Raw genomic sequence first — 15,286 nt, 5'->3', positions numbered from 1 at the left:
AGCCATATTCTGGCCTATGGGTTTGGTTCCTAGAACTCGAAGTATGTGGGTTTCCTGAGTGTGTAAAATCCTGAGAGATGGTAATAAACCACACCCTTTGGGATGAGGTACAGAGAGCCTTCATATTTATAAAATATATGAGGCCAGGCATGGTGGCTCACACCTGTAATCCCAGCACTCTGAGAGGCCAAGGTAGAAGCATTGCTTGAGCTCACGAGTTTGAGTCCAGCCTGGGCAACATAACGAGAGCCTGCCTCTACAAAAATAAAATAAAATAAAAAGTTAGCTGGGCATGGTGGTGTGTGCCTGTGATCACAATTATTCAGGAGGCTGAAGTGGGAGGATTGCTTGAGTATAGGAGTTTGAGGCTGCAGTGAACTATGATTGCACCATTGCACTCCAGCCTGGGCAACAGAGTGAGACCGTGTCTCAATTAAAAAAAAAATATATATATATATATATATATGTATGCATGTATATGTGTGTGTATATATATATATATACATATGTATGTATGTATGTATGTGTGTGTGTGTATATGTATATATGTATATATACCGCTTTATTTCTTTAGCAGTGGTTAAGATTTGAACTTTGGAATCAGGCAGAACTGTAGGTCCAGCTCTGGCATTTTCTCACCCTCTAGAGCCTGGGTTTCCTCATCTGTAAAATAGAGATGGTAACAGTGCCTCCTCTTCGGGGCCTCTGGGCCTTGGCCGTCACACAATGCTCCTCCAAGAGCAGCTATGTTATCACTACTCTTATCTCACAGACAGCTGGAGGAGGGTCACGGGGGCAGCGGGCGCTCTGCAGGAGGCCTCCTTTAAGGGCAGTTGTCATTAGCACGCTGTTAGCAATGGGAAGCTCCAAGATGCTGCCAAACCACTTGAAAAGATGTGTTAGAAATCCCCATTTGGTAAAGAACAAAATTCTCAGTTCACAGAGCTTAGTCAATGCTTTTGTTGTCATTGTTGTTAATAAATGCTTTATTTTTGAAGAGTTTTAGATTTATAGAAAAGCTATAAAGATAGTACAGAGTTCCCATTTCTCACAGGGGTCCTGCACTGGCTCCCTGCTGGGGCGGGCTTGCAGTAGTCCAGTGGTTCAGTTTTGGTCTGGCTTCCTTTTTTCTGTGGTGACTGTCTAGCCCACAAGCTGAGTTATGGAGATGCTGCAGCTTTTCTGTTTGTAAAAATGACCTTGATCCCCGCCTACACTCGTTTCCTCTGTGTGCACAAACACACATGTGCACAGGCCCACCCACAGCATGCGGTCATGCAGTGTGAGGAGCACACCCACTGAGCTAGGCTCAGGTGACCCCTGACTGCTACCCCTTGCAGACCCAAGGTCGATCAGAGCCCCTGCAGAGGAAGCACTGTTACCATCTCGTGGCTTCTGGATGGTCCAGAGGGGGCTTTCTTGGAGATAAGTGAGCCAGACCTCCAAGAATCTGTAGGGTGGGTGGGCACATTTGGGTGTTCTCTTTTGCAGATGAGAAGTATTCATGGTGGCCTGAGGCTTGAGGCTTAAACACTATGAGCCTCAGTTTCCTTTTTTGGAAAATGGGAATAAACCAATGCTTCAGTCCTGGGAATGTGGTGAAGAGTGAAGGAGAAGCATGAGTAGCACCGGGCCTGGCACGGATGAGTGCGGTGCTTTTATCATTCCAGCTGTGTGGACCACACCAGCCACACCAGGTGGACATGTGGCCTCAGCTCACCAGATTCTCCTGCCCTCTGCCTCTGCCCAGGGTGGAGGGGAGTGAAGGCAGTGCCACAGCCCGGTACAGACCTGAATCATTGTATGCTTGACAGGCTCCAAGGCCTCCTTAAGTTAGGTCTTCACTCTGTGTACCATGACATTCCTCCAGAAAAACAAAAGTGCAAAGAACATCTTCTAATTTAAAACATGTTTTATGGTCGGGCTTGGCGGCTTATGCTGTAGCAGGATGAGCCGCAGACAAAAGTCCTCAAACTCTGAATTAAAGAAGGAAGGGGTTTATTCGGCCGGGGGCATTGGCAAGACTCCTGTCTCAAGAGCCGAGCTCCCCGAGTGAGCAATTTCTGTCCCTTTTAAGGGCTCACAACTCTAAGGGGGTGCACATGAGAGGGGCATGATTGATTGAGCAAGTGGGGGGTACGTGTCTGGGGGCTGCATGCACCGGTAATTACATCGGAACAAAACAGGATAGGGATTTTCACAGTGCTTTTCTATCCAATGTCTGTAATCTATAGATAACATAACCAATTAGGTCAGGGGTCGATTTTTAACTACCAGGCCCAGGGTGTGGCGCCGGGCTGCCTGCTTGTGGATTTCATTTCTGTCTTTTAGTTTTTACTTTTTCTTTCTTTGGAGGCAGAAATTGGGCATAAGACAATATGAGCGGTGGTCTCCTCCCTTATTCCCCCCCTTTGAGAATCTCACTCAATAGTGGGAGTTCTCACTTTCATTTTTACTTCCCATGTCTTCTTGCAAGACAGATCGATAGTGATTCACATAGTACATTGTGCTGAAGCATTTTGGTGAACTAAGGTAGTGATGAAGCTTTTTATCATTTGAAGAAGTACAGGTAGCAAACAAGGGAGCAGTAAGCAGGTTCCTATTACTATTATAACTCTTATTATAAGAGTTTTAAATCCTCTTAGTGCTGGGAACCATTTTCCAAACATGGCCCCAGGATCAAATCTATGCCACACTTGTACGGGCACATGTGCCAGTTTTGTCATATCTCTAACTATGTCTTCAACTACTTACCCTTGATTATCTATGTGTAGGCAGCAATTAGTAAGGTTAAATTTCCTGCAGACCTCTCCTTCAGCTGTAGTCGAGAGCTGATCTATTTTGATAGATAGCATTTCTCATCTGAGTTTCTTGCCAGGCCAGAATAGTCAAGGCTCTGCTGGTTTTACTAGTGATTATTTTTAAGACAGCTTGTAACCGTATGATTCGGTTGATCATGTAAATGGGGGTCCGGTATCCTCACGAGCTGTCTTGTGCCTAAGTAGCAGGCCTATAATATTGTATGATTCTCTCAGGGGGCCATTTATCATTTTTTCAATTTCCTATAGCTATGCTTCTCTTTTCGCGGGAAGCATAGACAGGGAAGCCCAGGAGTTCGCCTGTTTTTGTGGGCAGTAGGAAGAAAGATGGTTTAATAGTGCTAATAACACAACTACCTGCCTACTGGCCAGGTAATCTGGCATAAGCTGTTTGCCCACATATCCAGTATAATCCAGTGGGGGCTGTCCAGTCCTGGTGTGACTCTGGGTAGGTCCACACGGTTTGCAACTTTGGGAATTTACTAAATGGATTTCTTTCTGTGTGATTTGAACTCCACCAAGTGACTGTTTTTGTGGTACCATTATACAGTTTCTGTCTCAGACAACTAAGTCATCTGACAGGGTGAGTGAATTCTTTTCCTTCTTTAGCTATGCAATATTGTCCAATAATTGAGCCTTTTAGGACCTAGAAATTATCAGGGTGATTCTTTTGAGCCGGGAATTCATCAGGAACTGTGTCTGTAGGTACTAATTCTTGGGCTTCCTATGGCCATTGATCTCCTATTACAGTTCCTCCACATACATAACATGAAGTGACATTGAGAGACTGGGCTACATGCTCGGCTAATTGCAAAAACAAATTTCTTGTTTTTCCTGGAATTTCTGGTACTGGCACATTTAGTTCATCATAGAAAGGTTGAAACACTGGCTCAGGAGAGCGTTTGTAAACTTCTCCTCGAACCAAGATATTTACTCAAGGATGCAGTCCGGCCCCGTCGATTCCTAAGGTCACATGCTCGTCTTTTTTCCAGCGAGTATCAAGGGGATTGGTTATTACTAGCTCTAAGGGGTTACATTGCCCTTTAGTACAGGAAGGGCCATTTTTTCCTTTCTGAAGGTGGACTGGATCCTTTTCATTTTTTTTAAATCCAAGTGGCCTAAATGACACAAGACCAGTATTTACATTTATTTCTACACAGTCCTAATTTATGACAGATGTACTTATTTTCTGCCATATAGCCTCTTTTCTAATTAAGAGAACCACACCTTATTTCTAACATTACTATTAAAGACAGCACAGGCATCAAATTTTAAGGTGACTTCTTTGGGCACCCCTTTTTCTTCTGTTTTGGCTAACACGTTGCTCGTATTGTTTATAAGCCCCCACCAGTCCTCAGTCTTTAATCTTATTTTAAAAACTGTGGTCATGGGAGACTCAGATGGGTCATAACACACATCAGGTTTGTCATTTCCTGGGCTACATACCTTGTATAGAATAACATTATACCAACAAGTTCTTTTTAGAGTTCCAGTACACTTATAATAACCATAAAATAATAGGACCGTAGCAACCTTTTGTCCTACCTCAGTGACTTGATGCATACACTGGGAACAGCCCTCAGCCTGAGGAAGGTCAGTTGAAGTCCTTACTGTAAAAGTCCAAATTTTAAGGAAAATGAGTCCCGTGATGAGTTTTCTCATGCTTCGGCCGTGCGTGGACCAGTCAGCTTCCGGGTGTGACTGGAGCAGGGCTTGTCATCTTCTTCAGAGTCACTTTGCAGGGGTTGGCGAAGCTGCTCCCGTCCACGTACCGCTCACAGTCTACTGATGTTTAAGGATGGTCTCAGAGGTTGGTCCTGCTAGAGTCTAACTGAGTCTAACGCTTCTACACAGTTATGTTCAACTGGGCTCTCTGATACCGGGAGCAAGGTGGTGGGATTTAGGGTGTTGCAAACTTCAATGGTTATGTGGGGATTTTAAGCTTTGATACTTGGTTAATCTAGTATTTGTTAACCAATGATGTCCTTTGGTAGTCATTAAAGTTACCACAGCAAGGGGGCCTTTATATTCAGGTTTTGCCTAAGGGTTAGTTTATCTGCTTCTTGTGCTAACAGGGCTGTTGCTGCTAAGGCCCTTAGATCTGGGGGCTGGACTCTGGAAACCCTGTCTAGTTGTTTTGAGAGATAGGCCACTGGCCTTGGCCAGGGCCCCATAGTCTGGGTTAAAACTCCAACTGCCATTTTTTCTCTGACACATAGAGTTCAAAGAGTTTTGTCAGGTCAGGTAGCCCCAGGGCTGGGGCTGACATGAGTTTTTTTTAACTCATGAAAAGCTCATTGCTGTTGGTTGTAATAGATGTAGTTTATATAATCTACATTTTTATTAACTGTCACCTACTAAAATATTGACTCAAATCCTGCAGCTATTTGATTTCAAGCTTTAAATTGATCTGCTGTTCCTCGTGAGACTCCAATTGTGTCTAAATAGATATGAGAGTCGAAAGACCCATAGGAGGCTTCTCTCACTTTATGATGTCTTATTTTTTTTCCTTCTGGTTGATGAAATGCCAGGGTGAAAGGGATAGTCAACTGGACTAAAGTACAAGTGCCCCTCCAGTTATTCGGCAGAGTGCCCAGTAAAGGTCCACCACAATACCACCACACATCCACTCGGGGATGAACAAGGGCTGACTGATTGATAAGCTCTTGAAAATTCTTAAGCTCACTGCATCCCTTTAGGTCTCCAAGGAATGCTGTTTCCTCCCTGTCGTGAGAAACACGAAGTGAACTTAGTGTTGGGGGACGGAAGCTGGATGGCCCTTGGGGGCTGACCTGCAGGGTGCCTGACTTTGGGATATAGCAGAGAGAGCTTGGCATGACTTATTATTCCATGCTGTAGAATCCTGGAAAAGAGCTACCATGCAGCCCACACCTGGTCGACGGAGGACCACCTTAGTGGAAAGGGGACAGTCTGGGTCTCTGGCCTGCCATGTGCGCAAGCATAACAATTGCTTTTGTTTAACATGCAGATGGAATATTTGATCCATTTTAACCAGGCAGTTGCATCTTGGTATCCCGTCTTAATTGCTAAAGTTTGTTTTAAGTCTTTAACTGCTATGATCCTCTAGTAAAATGAATGTATGGTTTTAGGAAATTACAAAAACCGGTTGGGGCAGTCCATCCTTGTTCTGTAGTGGTCCACAGAACGTTGGTCCAACTATGACATGCAAGCTGCACATCAGGGGGCAAGACTCCTGGTTGGCACTGGGGTCTTTATCGAAATCTCCCGGGATTAAATGGTTCAGTTTACTAATTCCCAGTCTGAGGAGAGTCAGGAGGGACAGAAGTACTTTTCTGAAGAAGAAAGCTGTCTTTGACTTGGCAAGTCCCCACAGGGTATAACAAGGCAAGCATTAAATGCAATAGTTTGAGGCGAAATTGACTTGGTTATGTTAATAACTAGATGGTCAGCAATAGAACGAGGAAAGAAGAAAGAGTAATAGAATAGAGGAAAAGAGTTAAATTTTTCTTAGCTTTTGTTTGGTAGGGTTTTCCCCTGGGACTATGGCCCATGACTCTGGAGGAGGTGGCACTTTCTTGACTCGGGTGTGATGAGTCCATCCTTTTTTTTTTTTTTTTTTTTTTTTTCTGTACAAACAGCAGTCTTGGTGGTTAGCAGCACAAGGTGGGGTCCTTCCTAGGTTGGCTCGAGTTTTTCTTCTTTCCACCGTTTGATGAGAACGTGATCTTCAGGCTGGTGCTGGTTTACCAGAAATTCTAGGGGTGGTACATGTGCTAAAAGACTTTTAGTTTTTGAGAGAAAGGAAAGTGGAAGATAAACCAAGTATATAATTTTTAAGAAACTGACCTTTTGTTTTATATGTGGGGACCTTGGCAGTGGACTTTATAGTCCTTAGTGCCTTTTAACTGAGAAATTTCCTTTAGCATCTATTTTTATTAGTTTTTAAAACAAAGAAAGCCAAATACCATTTTACATTTAACAATGCTTCTCATATGATTTTTATACCAGATAAGCTAAATTTTATCTTTATATTAGTGTGTTAGTAATGTTAAACCTAATTTTAATAAAACCTTGTAGACATATTTATCTAATTTTTAATGTTTGACCATAAGGTAAGATTTTATAGACTCTTTTTAACCTTTTATAATTTTTGTGAAAGAGCAGGTTGGTGCTTTAAGAAAAACCTGTTATGCTTTTACTTTAATGTCCAGTTCACAGAAAAACTGGATGATACTTCTTTAACTTTAGCTAATATGTTTACACACAGAATTTTCTTTACAATTAACGTTTTAAAACTTGCTTAAATCTTCAAAACAATAATTTTTTAAAAACTTTTTAATGTAGGTAAAAATGTGCATTCTTATGCCTCCTTATAATCCTTTTACTAAAGGTATATTTTACTTTTCTGATACACCTTGCACATAAACTGTTTTTTTAAAATAGTTTTACATTCAGGAGGCCTAGTTACTTTTAAATTATACAACATTATTTGCATAAATTCTTTTTTATAACATTTTTCTCTTTCATGACTTTTGCAGACAATTCTTCGACATGCCTCAACTTTCTGACTTATTACAAATATTTCTTTCTTTAAACAACCAGTTAATTTATTTCAGGACAAGAATTTACCATATAATACTCTTTTTATATAAATTCTGCCCCCCCTTTTTTTCCCTTTTTTTTTCCTTAGGATACTTCTGAACTGGTGAGGTGTGCTCACAATGAGGTTTCCTCTAAAAGTTATTTTTTTTACTTTTTTTTTTTTGTTAGCAAAGCAGTTGCTGCTACAGATTGAATGCATTTGGTCCATCTGCGGGTTACCGGGTTAAGGATTTTTGATAGGAAGCCCTCAGTGCTTTCGGGATATGCCCTTGTTTACACTGACAACAAAGTGGTATTGGAGTGTTATAGGGTTATGGAGAATATCTTCAATTATCAATTATAGGTTTTAAATTTGCATTGGCTTTTAAAGGAATAGGGTACACTTTTTTTTTCTTAACTACTTGTATATCTCTTTCTTTCTTTCTCTCTTTGACTTTGTCTCTCTCTGACTTTCCTTTTGCCTGTCTCTTCCTCTCTCTCTGCCTCTCTCTTTCTCTCTCTCTCTCTCCTTGACTCTCTCTTTTTTTTTCTCTTCCTCTCTGTCTCTTCCTCTCTCTCTTTGCCTCTTTTCCTGTCTGTCTCTTTCCTTTCTCTCTCTCTGTTGGTCTTTCCTTGCCTCTGCCAGGCGCTTATTCTGCTGTTCTCTCCACCACTCTGTGTTAGGGGCGGGGGGTCTAAAACCAGCTGTAACCAAGTGTCTATGTACGGGAACTGGTCTGGGTTCCCTGGCTTACAGGTTACCTTGTGCCATAGCTTTGAAACAAGGGACCTGTCCGGGCTCCCTTCTAATGGCCAACCTACCTCTAATGCTGGCCAGTCTGTCTTACAGAAAGTTTTAAGTTTTCCTGGTGTCACCGTACTCCATAGTCTCCCTTAAACTCTTTTTTGAAATTTTTCACCGTAGTTCCTAGTAGGGTGGGCTTATTTGTGCCTGACCTATGCTTCCTTGAGACAAAACACCATGCTCACACCACAAGCACACCACAAAACAAAGAACAGGTAAAAAGGGCACACACACACTTTTGCAGTTTGCATCAAACCAAAATCAAAACCAAAATCAGAGTGTCCAGAAATCCAAGACAGGTCAAAACCAAAACCAAAGTATCAAGGAATCCAAGTCAAGTCAAAAACAAAAACCGAAGTGCCGGTACAGGCACACCATGGGTGATCAGGCCACGCGTCCACTCAAATGGAGTGGGCAAGTTTCCAATACCTGTCCTGTCAAGCAATTCAAACCAAGTCAAAACCAAAACCAAAACCAAAACCAAAGTGCTGATAAATGCATGTCATGGGTGATCAGGCCACGCTTCCACTCAAATGGAGTGGGCAAGTTCTCGAGACTAGTCTTACCAAGTTTTAGATGTCCAGACTCCAAGATCCTGTTCCTTCCCGGTGTTCAGCCACTGTGTTGGTCCTCCACGGGGGCCTGCCACACACTGCTCTGGTGAGGCATCCCACAGGGGCAGATGCCTACCCGGGAGCGTTCTCAGGATCCGCGTTGCCTGGGCTGGTCGGAGTCCCCCACAGGGATGTTTCACAGGGCATGCTTAAGCTGCCTAAGCAGCTGCCTCGACCATGTGCCAGTCACCTCGCTTCCTGGTCAGGGAACCAAGAAATGTAGCAGGATGAGCTGCAGACAAAACTCCTCAGACTCCGAGTTAAAGAAGGAAGGGGTTTATTCGGCTGGGGGCATTGGCAAGACTCCTGTCTCAAGAGCCAAGCTCCCCGAGTGAGCAATTCCTGTCCCTTTTAAGGGCTCACAACTCTAAGGGGGTGCGTGTGAGAGGGTCGTGATCGATTGAGCAAGCAGAGGGTACGTGTCTGGGGGCTGCATGCACCGGTAATTCGATCTGAACAAAACAGGATAGGGATTTTCACAGTGCTTTTCTATCCAATGTCTGTAATCGATAACATAACCGATTAGGTCAGGGGTCGATCTGCCCAGGGTGTGGCACCGGGCTGTCTGCTTGTGGATTTCATTTCTGCCTTTCAGTTTTTACTTTTTCTTTCTTTGGAGGCAGAAATTGGGCATAAGACAATATGAGGGGTGGTCTCCTCCCTTAATGCCTCTAACCCCAGCACTTTGGGAGGCCCAGGCATGTGGATCATCTGAGGTCAGGAGTTCAAGATCAACCTGGCCAACATGGCAAAACCTCGCCTCTACTAAAAATACAAAAAAATTAGCCTGGCGTGGTGACGGGCACCTGTAATCCCAGCTACTCAGGAGGCTGAGGCAAGAGAATCGCTTGAACCCAGAAGGCAGAGGTTGCGGAGAGCCAAGTTCGCACCACTGCACTCCAGCCTGGGTCAAAGAGTGAGACTCTGTCTCAAAAAAACAAAAACAAAAACGATACAAAACAAAAAACATGTTTTACTCAGGAAGACTGGTTTTCAATGTAATCAGTAGCAAGTACTTTTATAAAGTGATGAGGGCTTTGTGTCACAAATAACTCCCTTGCCCCAATTACTCTGTGTGGTCAGTTCTGATTTCACTGTACTTTGGGTTTAAGCCACGTATTTGGGAGAAAGTCATACGTGTCATTTCTCATAATATTCACCAAATGAAGAACTTTGGAAGGCTATGCAGGAGTCTACAGTTCACTGGAGGCCATGTGGCAGATCTCCTCCAAGGGGTTTCCAAATGTTTCCTGAAAAAGAAGAGGAGAGAGAGGTCTCTGCATCGTGTCTCAGATCTGAGTGAGGCCAGTTCTGGAACTTGTGGCGTACTGGGGAAGAAATTAGGTCTCGAGAGCCAGGGACCAAGGCCTGTCCTCTCCTCAGCTGCCCCTCTACTGCCTCTCTGCCCTAAATGGGTAGCTGAAGGGGGACGAGAAAGAAGAGAGAGAGAGAGAGAGGGAGAGAGAAGACAGGAGCAGCAGCAGGAGAGTGCGGGCACTTGGGAGCAGCTCACATCTGCTTCTTGGCTGGGGGGGGTACTGAAAACCACCCTGAGAAGGCTCATGCCTTGGCCTCGCTCCCCTTGTCTTGGGCTGACAGGACAGCTATACACTCAAATGCCCCTAAATGCAGGTTTGAGGACCTTCCTGGGGCAGGATGCCACATGGGGACAGGCAGAGCAGAAGCCACGTGACAGAGCCAGGCCAGCTGGGGAAGCGTGCACCCTCAGAAACGCTGGCTGGGCGGCCCTGCTGGAGGTTGTGTAAAATGCCCATTACGGTGCCTCAACAGTCAGCAGAAAGCTTGGGGTGTTAGGTTTCCTCTATGACTTCATTCCTCCCCCAAAATAATTATACTAAAAACCATAGTAGCTATTGCGTCTGGGGCATCTAAGCACGTCAGACACTACATACCTTATTTCACTCACCCTTCATCGAAACCCTGTGAGGCAGGCATTATTTCCCCCATTTTACAGGGAGGTACTGGGTCTCAGCAGGGGTGTAGGCAACTGCCAGGGGTCTCACCCAGCTTGTAGGTATAGGGCTGGGTGTCAGCCTTCAGGTCCCCATGACTCAGGTCAGGAGCTCAGAGCCCCTGTGCCGCCACACAGCCCTTAGCGTGTTGCACTGTTGCAGTGGACAAGCTCTCCGGGATCTGGCAAGGATGGTGAAGTCTGGTCAGAGGCTAGATGCCAGGCCTCACAGCACAGCTATCACAACAGAACCTAAACTGGAAATTGGGTTTTTGCTGTTGTTTTTTTAAAAATCCCCTGCATCTTTGTTGTTGTTGTTGTTGTTTGAGACGGAGTCTCGCTCTGTCGCCCAGGCTGGAGTGCAGTGGTGCAATCTTGGCTCACTGCAACCTCTGCCCTCTGGGTTCAAGCGATTCTCCTGCCTAAGCCTCCCGAGTAGCTGGGACTACAGGTGCCCACCACCACACCTGGCTAATTTTTGTATTTTTAGTACAGACGGGGTTTCACCATATTGGTCAGGCTGGTCTTGAACTCCTGACCTTGTGATCTGCCCCCCTCAGCCTCCCAAAGTACCAGGATTACAGGTGTGAGCCACTGCGCCTGGCCAACATCTTAAACTAGGTAAGCCACATAAGCTAGCTTTCAAGATCTTGAATCTCGAGTAGATCCCAGCTGGTCTTCAGTTTTTATCTGCCACTCACCACCCTGAGTCAAATACTTAAGGTCTTTGTGCCTCAAGTTTCTCATTGGTAAATTCCTATGGGCTGTTGTGAAACAGAATAAGATGATGCTTACCCAGTGTCTGGCCTGAGAGCTCAGTAACCAGCTGTTCTAAGAACTAGAGGAACAGGCTGTAGCTTTAGGCTTTCCTTTCTGCCCTGGGATGTTCTCCCTGTCAAAAACAACAGCACTGAGACTGCTGTCCTGGTGGGTTCCACCGAAGGATTAACACTGAACAGCAACAAAAAAGGGTGCGGGCTCTTCCTCCTGGACCGAATGCACACTCGAGTTTGTTGCAAGTACCTGAGAGCTCATTGCCTGCCTTGGCTGTGGAATAGGCCCATGCCGGTGCTTATGTCTTTCTGTTCTATCCCCTGAAAGTCAAAACAAAAGTTTCTTGTCTTGAGGTAGGAGGTGGGACTCGACTCCAGAGGTGGGGCTTGGACACCAGACTAGATTGAGGACTAGCTAAAACAGAGCCGGGGTGAAAGCAGCTTTGAATCAGACATGCCCACCACTGAGACATGTCAATTTACTGTAGCCATGGCAACACCTGGGCATTACCACCCCTTTCCATGGTAATGACCCAATGACCCAAAAGTGCCTACCCCTCCCCTAGAAATCTCTGCATAAACTGCCCCTTAATCTGCATGCAGTTAAAAGTGGGCATAAATATGACTGCAAAACTGCCCTGAGCCGCTACTCCCTGCCTAAGTTAGCCCTCCTCCGCAGGAGCAGTCATGGAGTTGTAACACTGCTTCTTCAATAAAGCTTTCTTCTACCTCTGGCTTGCCCTTGAATTCTTTCCTGGGCAAAGCCAGGAACCCAGCAGGCTACGCTCCACTTTCGACCTTGCCTGCCCTGTATCACTGACTTCCTTCTGAACCCTCCTCACACTAAGCAGATGCTCAGCCACCTGTCGCCTTTTCCCCACTCCCTTAGCCCTTCCCAAGGTCTGGGCTGGGTTGCATTCAGATTGGTGTGATCACCACTTTCATGGTGGCACAGCTTGCTTGGGGAACTCACCGATGGCGGATAAGGGGAAGGCGTGAGTTGTGACATGTCCTATAAGGTACTATGTCATGAGCATGGAATATGAAATCAGCTGCAGGCTGATGCCATGTGGGTGGTGCCCTCCTATGTCGGGGTGGGAGGCCTCCTGGGCAGGATTCTTTTTCTCCTGGGGCACAGGAACAAGGTGCAAACAGGCAGGAGGGCAGGTCCCACAGCTGCTCTGGAAGGCTGACCAGGCTGTCCACACACACTCTATCAACCCCCCTCACTATCTTGTCCCACTGTAACTTCTGCTGGCTGGCTTCAGCCCCACTCAACTTGCAAATGCTCTTAGGGAGGTTGCTATACTCTCCAAATGACCAAACGAGTGTTTACAACTCTGCCCTTACCTTATTTGCTCTTTCTGCAACATCTGGCATCATGGACCACTTCTGCATTCTGGAAACCATTTCTTCTATGGGAACCTGTGTGACAATTTTTTCCATATTCTCTCCTACTCCCCTGGATGCTTCCCTTGGTCTCCTTCACTGAGTTTTCTTCCTCTGCTTGCACAGAATAACCTCCAGGGTTCCTTCCTTTCTCCCTTCCTGCTCTGCCACTCTTGGGGCATATTCATCTTCAAACGTGGCTTCTGTTATCACCTCCCAGCTCTCTGTCTCTGGCCTAGACCAATCTGTTGAGACCTTGTATCCAACTGCGTGTTGGCCAGCTAGCTCCTCATAGGCCTTTGGGGCTCAACATGAACTCAGTATCAGCTTTACCCAAGCTGCTCCTGCCCCAGCATTTCCTCCTGTGGTGAACTACGCTACCATCCATCTGGTCACTCAAGCCAGGAATTTCCCTCCGTTTACCTTATGTACAGTTGATCACCATGTCTCATCTAACCCACCTTCCAGGCATTTCTGGACTCCCCTCTTCATTCCCACAGCCATTGCCTCAGTTTAGCCAGTGTCATTTCCCCAGGGTTGCTGCGATAGCTTCCCACGCTGTATTCCTATGCCCTGCATTCACTCTTTACCAGAGAAGTCTTTCTACAGCACACATCTAGTAGTGCTCGTCTGCTCAAAGCTTCCACTGTGAGTCCATCACCTTCAGTAGACTTCCTCAACTCTTGGGTCTTCCTGCTCACCTGTCCATCCACCTGTCTTACAGGTAACGAACCACAGGTACCCTTTGGTCCACCAACCCAACCTGCAGCTCACAGCAGGCCTCCATGCTTTTACCCACAGTTTCCCTTCTCCTAATTCCAACTGCTCCTTTAGATGGGATTCAAGTGTCACCTCCCCAGGAACATTTGCCCTGACCCCCATGCCCTGCCATCTTTATCAGAATCTGGGTCCTCCTCTTTGCATTTTAGGCAAAGCTCTTTCAGAGCAATTATCATACTACATAGAGAGAGCTGATTTACACAGCAGTTCCAGTGAAGTTTTGGTGAGAGGGGATGGAATCACAACATTTAGAGCAGGAAGGGTTCAACAACTTCATTTTACAGAGCCCAGAGAAGGGATGTTGAAAAGCTAATGCAGACATAGCTACTTAACAAAAATTGTCATTCGGGGTCAGACCAATGACTAAACAGCCCAGTGTTCCAGTGAGGTGAAATGGATTCCCTCGGTCACATAACTCATTAAGACAGAACTAGGCCAGACACGGTGACTCACGCCTGTAATCCTAGCACTTTGGGAGGCCAAGGCAGGAGGATCACCTGAGGTCAGGAGTTCAAGATCAGTCTTGCCAACATGGTGAAACCCCACCTCTACTAAAAATACAAAAATTAGCCGGGCATGGTGGCGGGTAACTGTAATCCCAGCTACTCGGGAGACTGAAGCAGGAGGATTGCTTGAACCCAGAAGACGGAGGCTGCAGTGAGCCAAGATGGCACCCCTGCACTCCAGCCTGGGTGACAGAGTGAGCAAACAAACCAACAAACACACAAAGAAGACAGAACTAGAAGAGCCTGGGAACCTGGAGCTCAAGCTCACTGCTCCTACCATCACTGTGCTGCCCCCGATGGAAAAGGTAGGCGTGTCCTCTAAAACCTCCTAAGTCCCTTAGAAACACATTATGGTCCTGTGCAAGGTGGTTCAGGCTGCTATAATAAAATACTTTAGACTGGGTAATTTATGAATAACAGAAACTTATCGCTTGCAGTTCTGGAGGCTGGAAAGTCCAAGGTCAACGTGCCAGCAGATTCAGTGTCTGATGAGAGCCCGTTTCTCATAGATGGCATGCTCTATGTGTCCTCACATCATGGTAGGGCAAACACATGGCAAACAAACTCCCTGGGGCCTTTTGTATTAATATAAGGGCACTAATCACTCCCCCAGAGGCTCCACCTCTTAATACCATTACCTTGGGGGTTAGGTTTCAACATACGAATTTAGGGAGGTCACAAGCATTCAGACTCTAGCAGGCCTCACCGTCCATAATTAGTTTTAACATTTGTCTTATCACATTTAGGTGATGAATATTCTTAGAGATAACAAATATCCTGAATTTACAAGTAACAGGAAAAAACATGGAAAATTATGAATGTCTGTCTTTGTCTGAAAGTTTATCCTTATATTGAAAAGAAATGTTTTTCCCTAATTTGTACCCTTGGGTATAAATTCAAAACTATTGCCTTTTAAAATGTGATGGAGCTCTTAACTAAACACTGTTTGGTTTCAAAGATAACTTTCTTCTCATCATATCCTCCAGCTGCCTGCCATTTAGCTGAAGCTGTCTCTCAGTCTACATCTTGTCCTGTTTATCTCACGTGGTATGTGGCTGTTAAGAA

General features: G+C 45.4%; 1 long non-coding RNA gene across 1 annotated transcript in view, besides 1 other annotated feature; it reads right to left on the bottom strand.

The window, feature by feature from the left end:
• Positions 763–1,262: an enhancer, noted in NCBI's record as "H3K4me1 hESC enhancer chr1:211868601-211869100 (GRCh37/hg19 assembly coordinates)". NCBI's record gives its function as "activates a minimal SCP1, AML or CMV promoter by ChIP-STARR-seq in naive H9 embryonic stem cells {active_cell/tissue: H9 hESC(naive)}" and the evidence as "EXISTENCE:reporter gene assay evidence [ECO:0000049][PMID:30033119]".
• The window catches only part of NEK2-DT (NEK2 divergent transcript), an 11,698-nt gene continuing 5,473 nt past the window's right edge, over positions 9,062–15,286 (bottom strand). Inside the window, exons 3-4 of the long non-coding RNA NR_148994.1 lie at positions 10,715–10,955; positions 9,062–10,051 (exon numbers count right to left, since the gene is read on the bottom strand). This is a non-coding gene — a long non-coding RNA (NEK2 divergent transcript). The remainder of the gene's footprint in view (positions 10,052–10,714; positions 10,956–15,286) is intronic.

This window comes from Homo sapiens, chromosome 1 (genome assembly GCF_000001405.40).
Source record: "Homo sapiens chromosome 1, GRCh38.p14 Primary Assembly".
Taxonomy (NCBI): domain Eukaryota; kingdom Metazoa; phylum Chordata; class Mammalia; order Primates; family Hominidae; genus Homo; species Homo sapiens.
The sequence above is the reverse complement of the archived record's forward strand: the minus strand, read 5'-3'. Positions and strand labels throughout refer to the sequence as shown.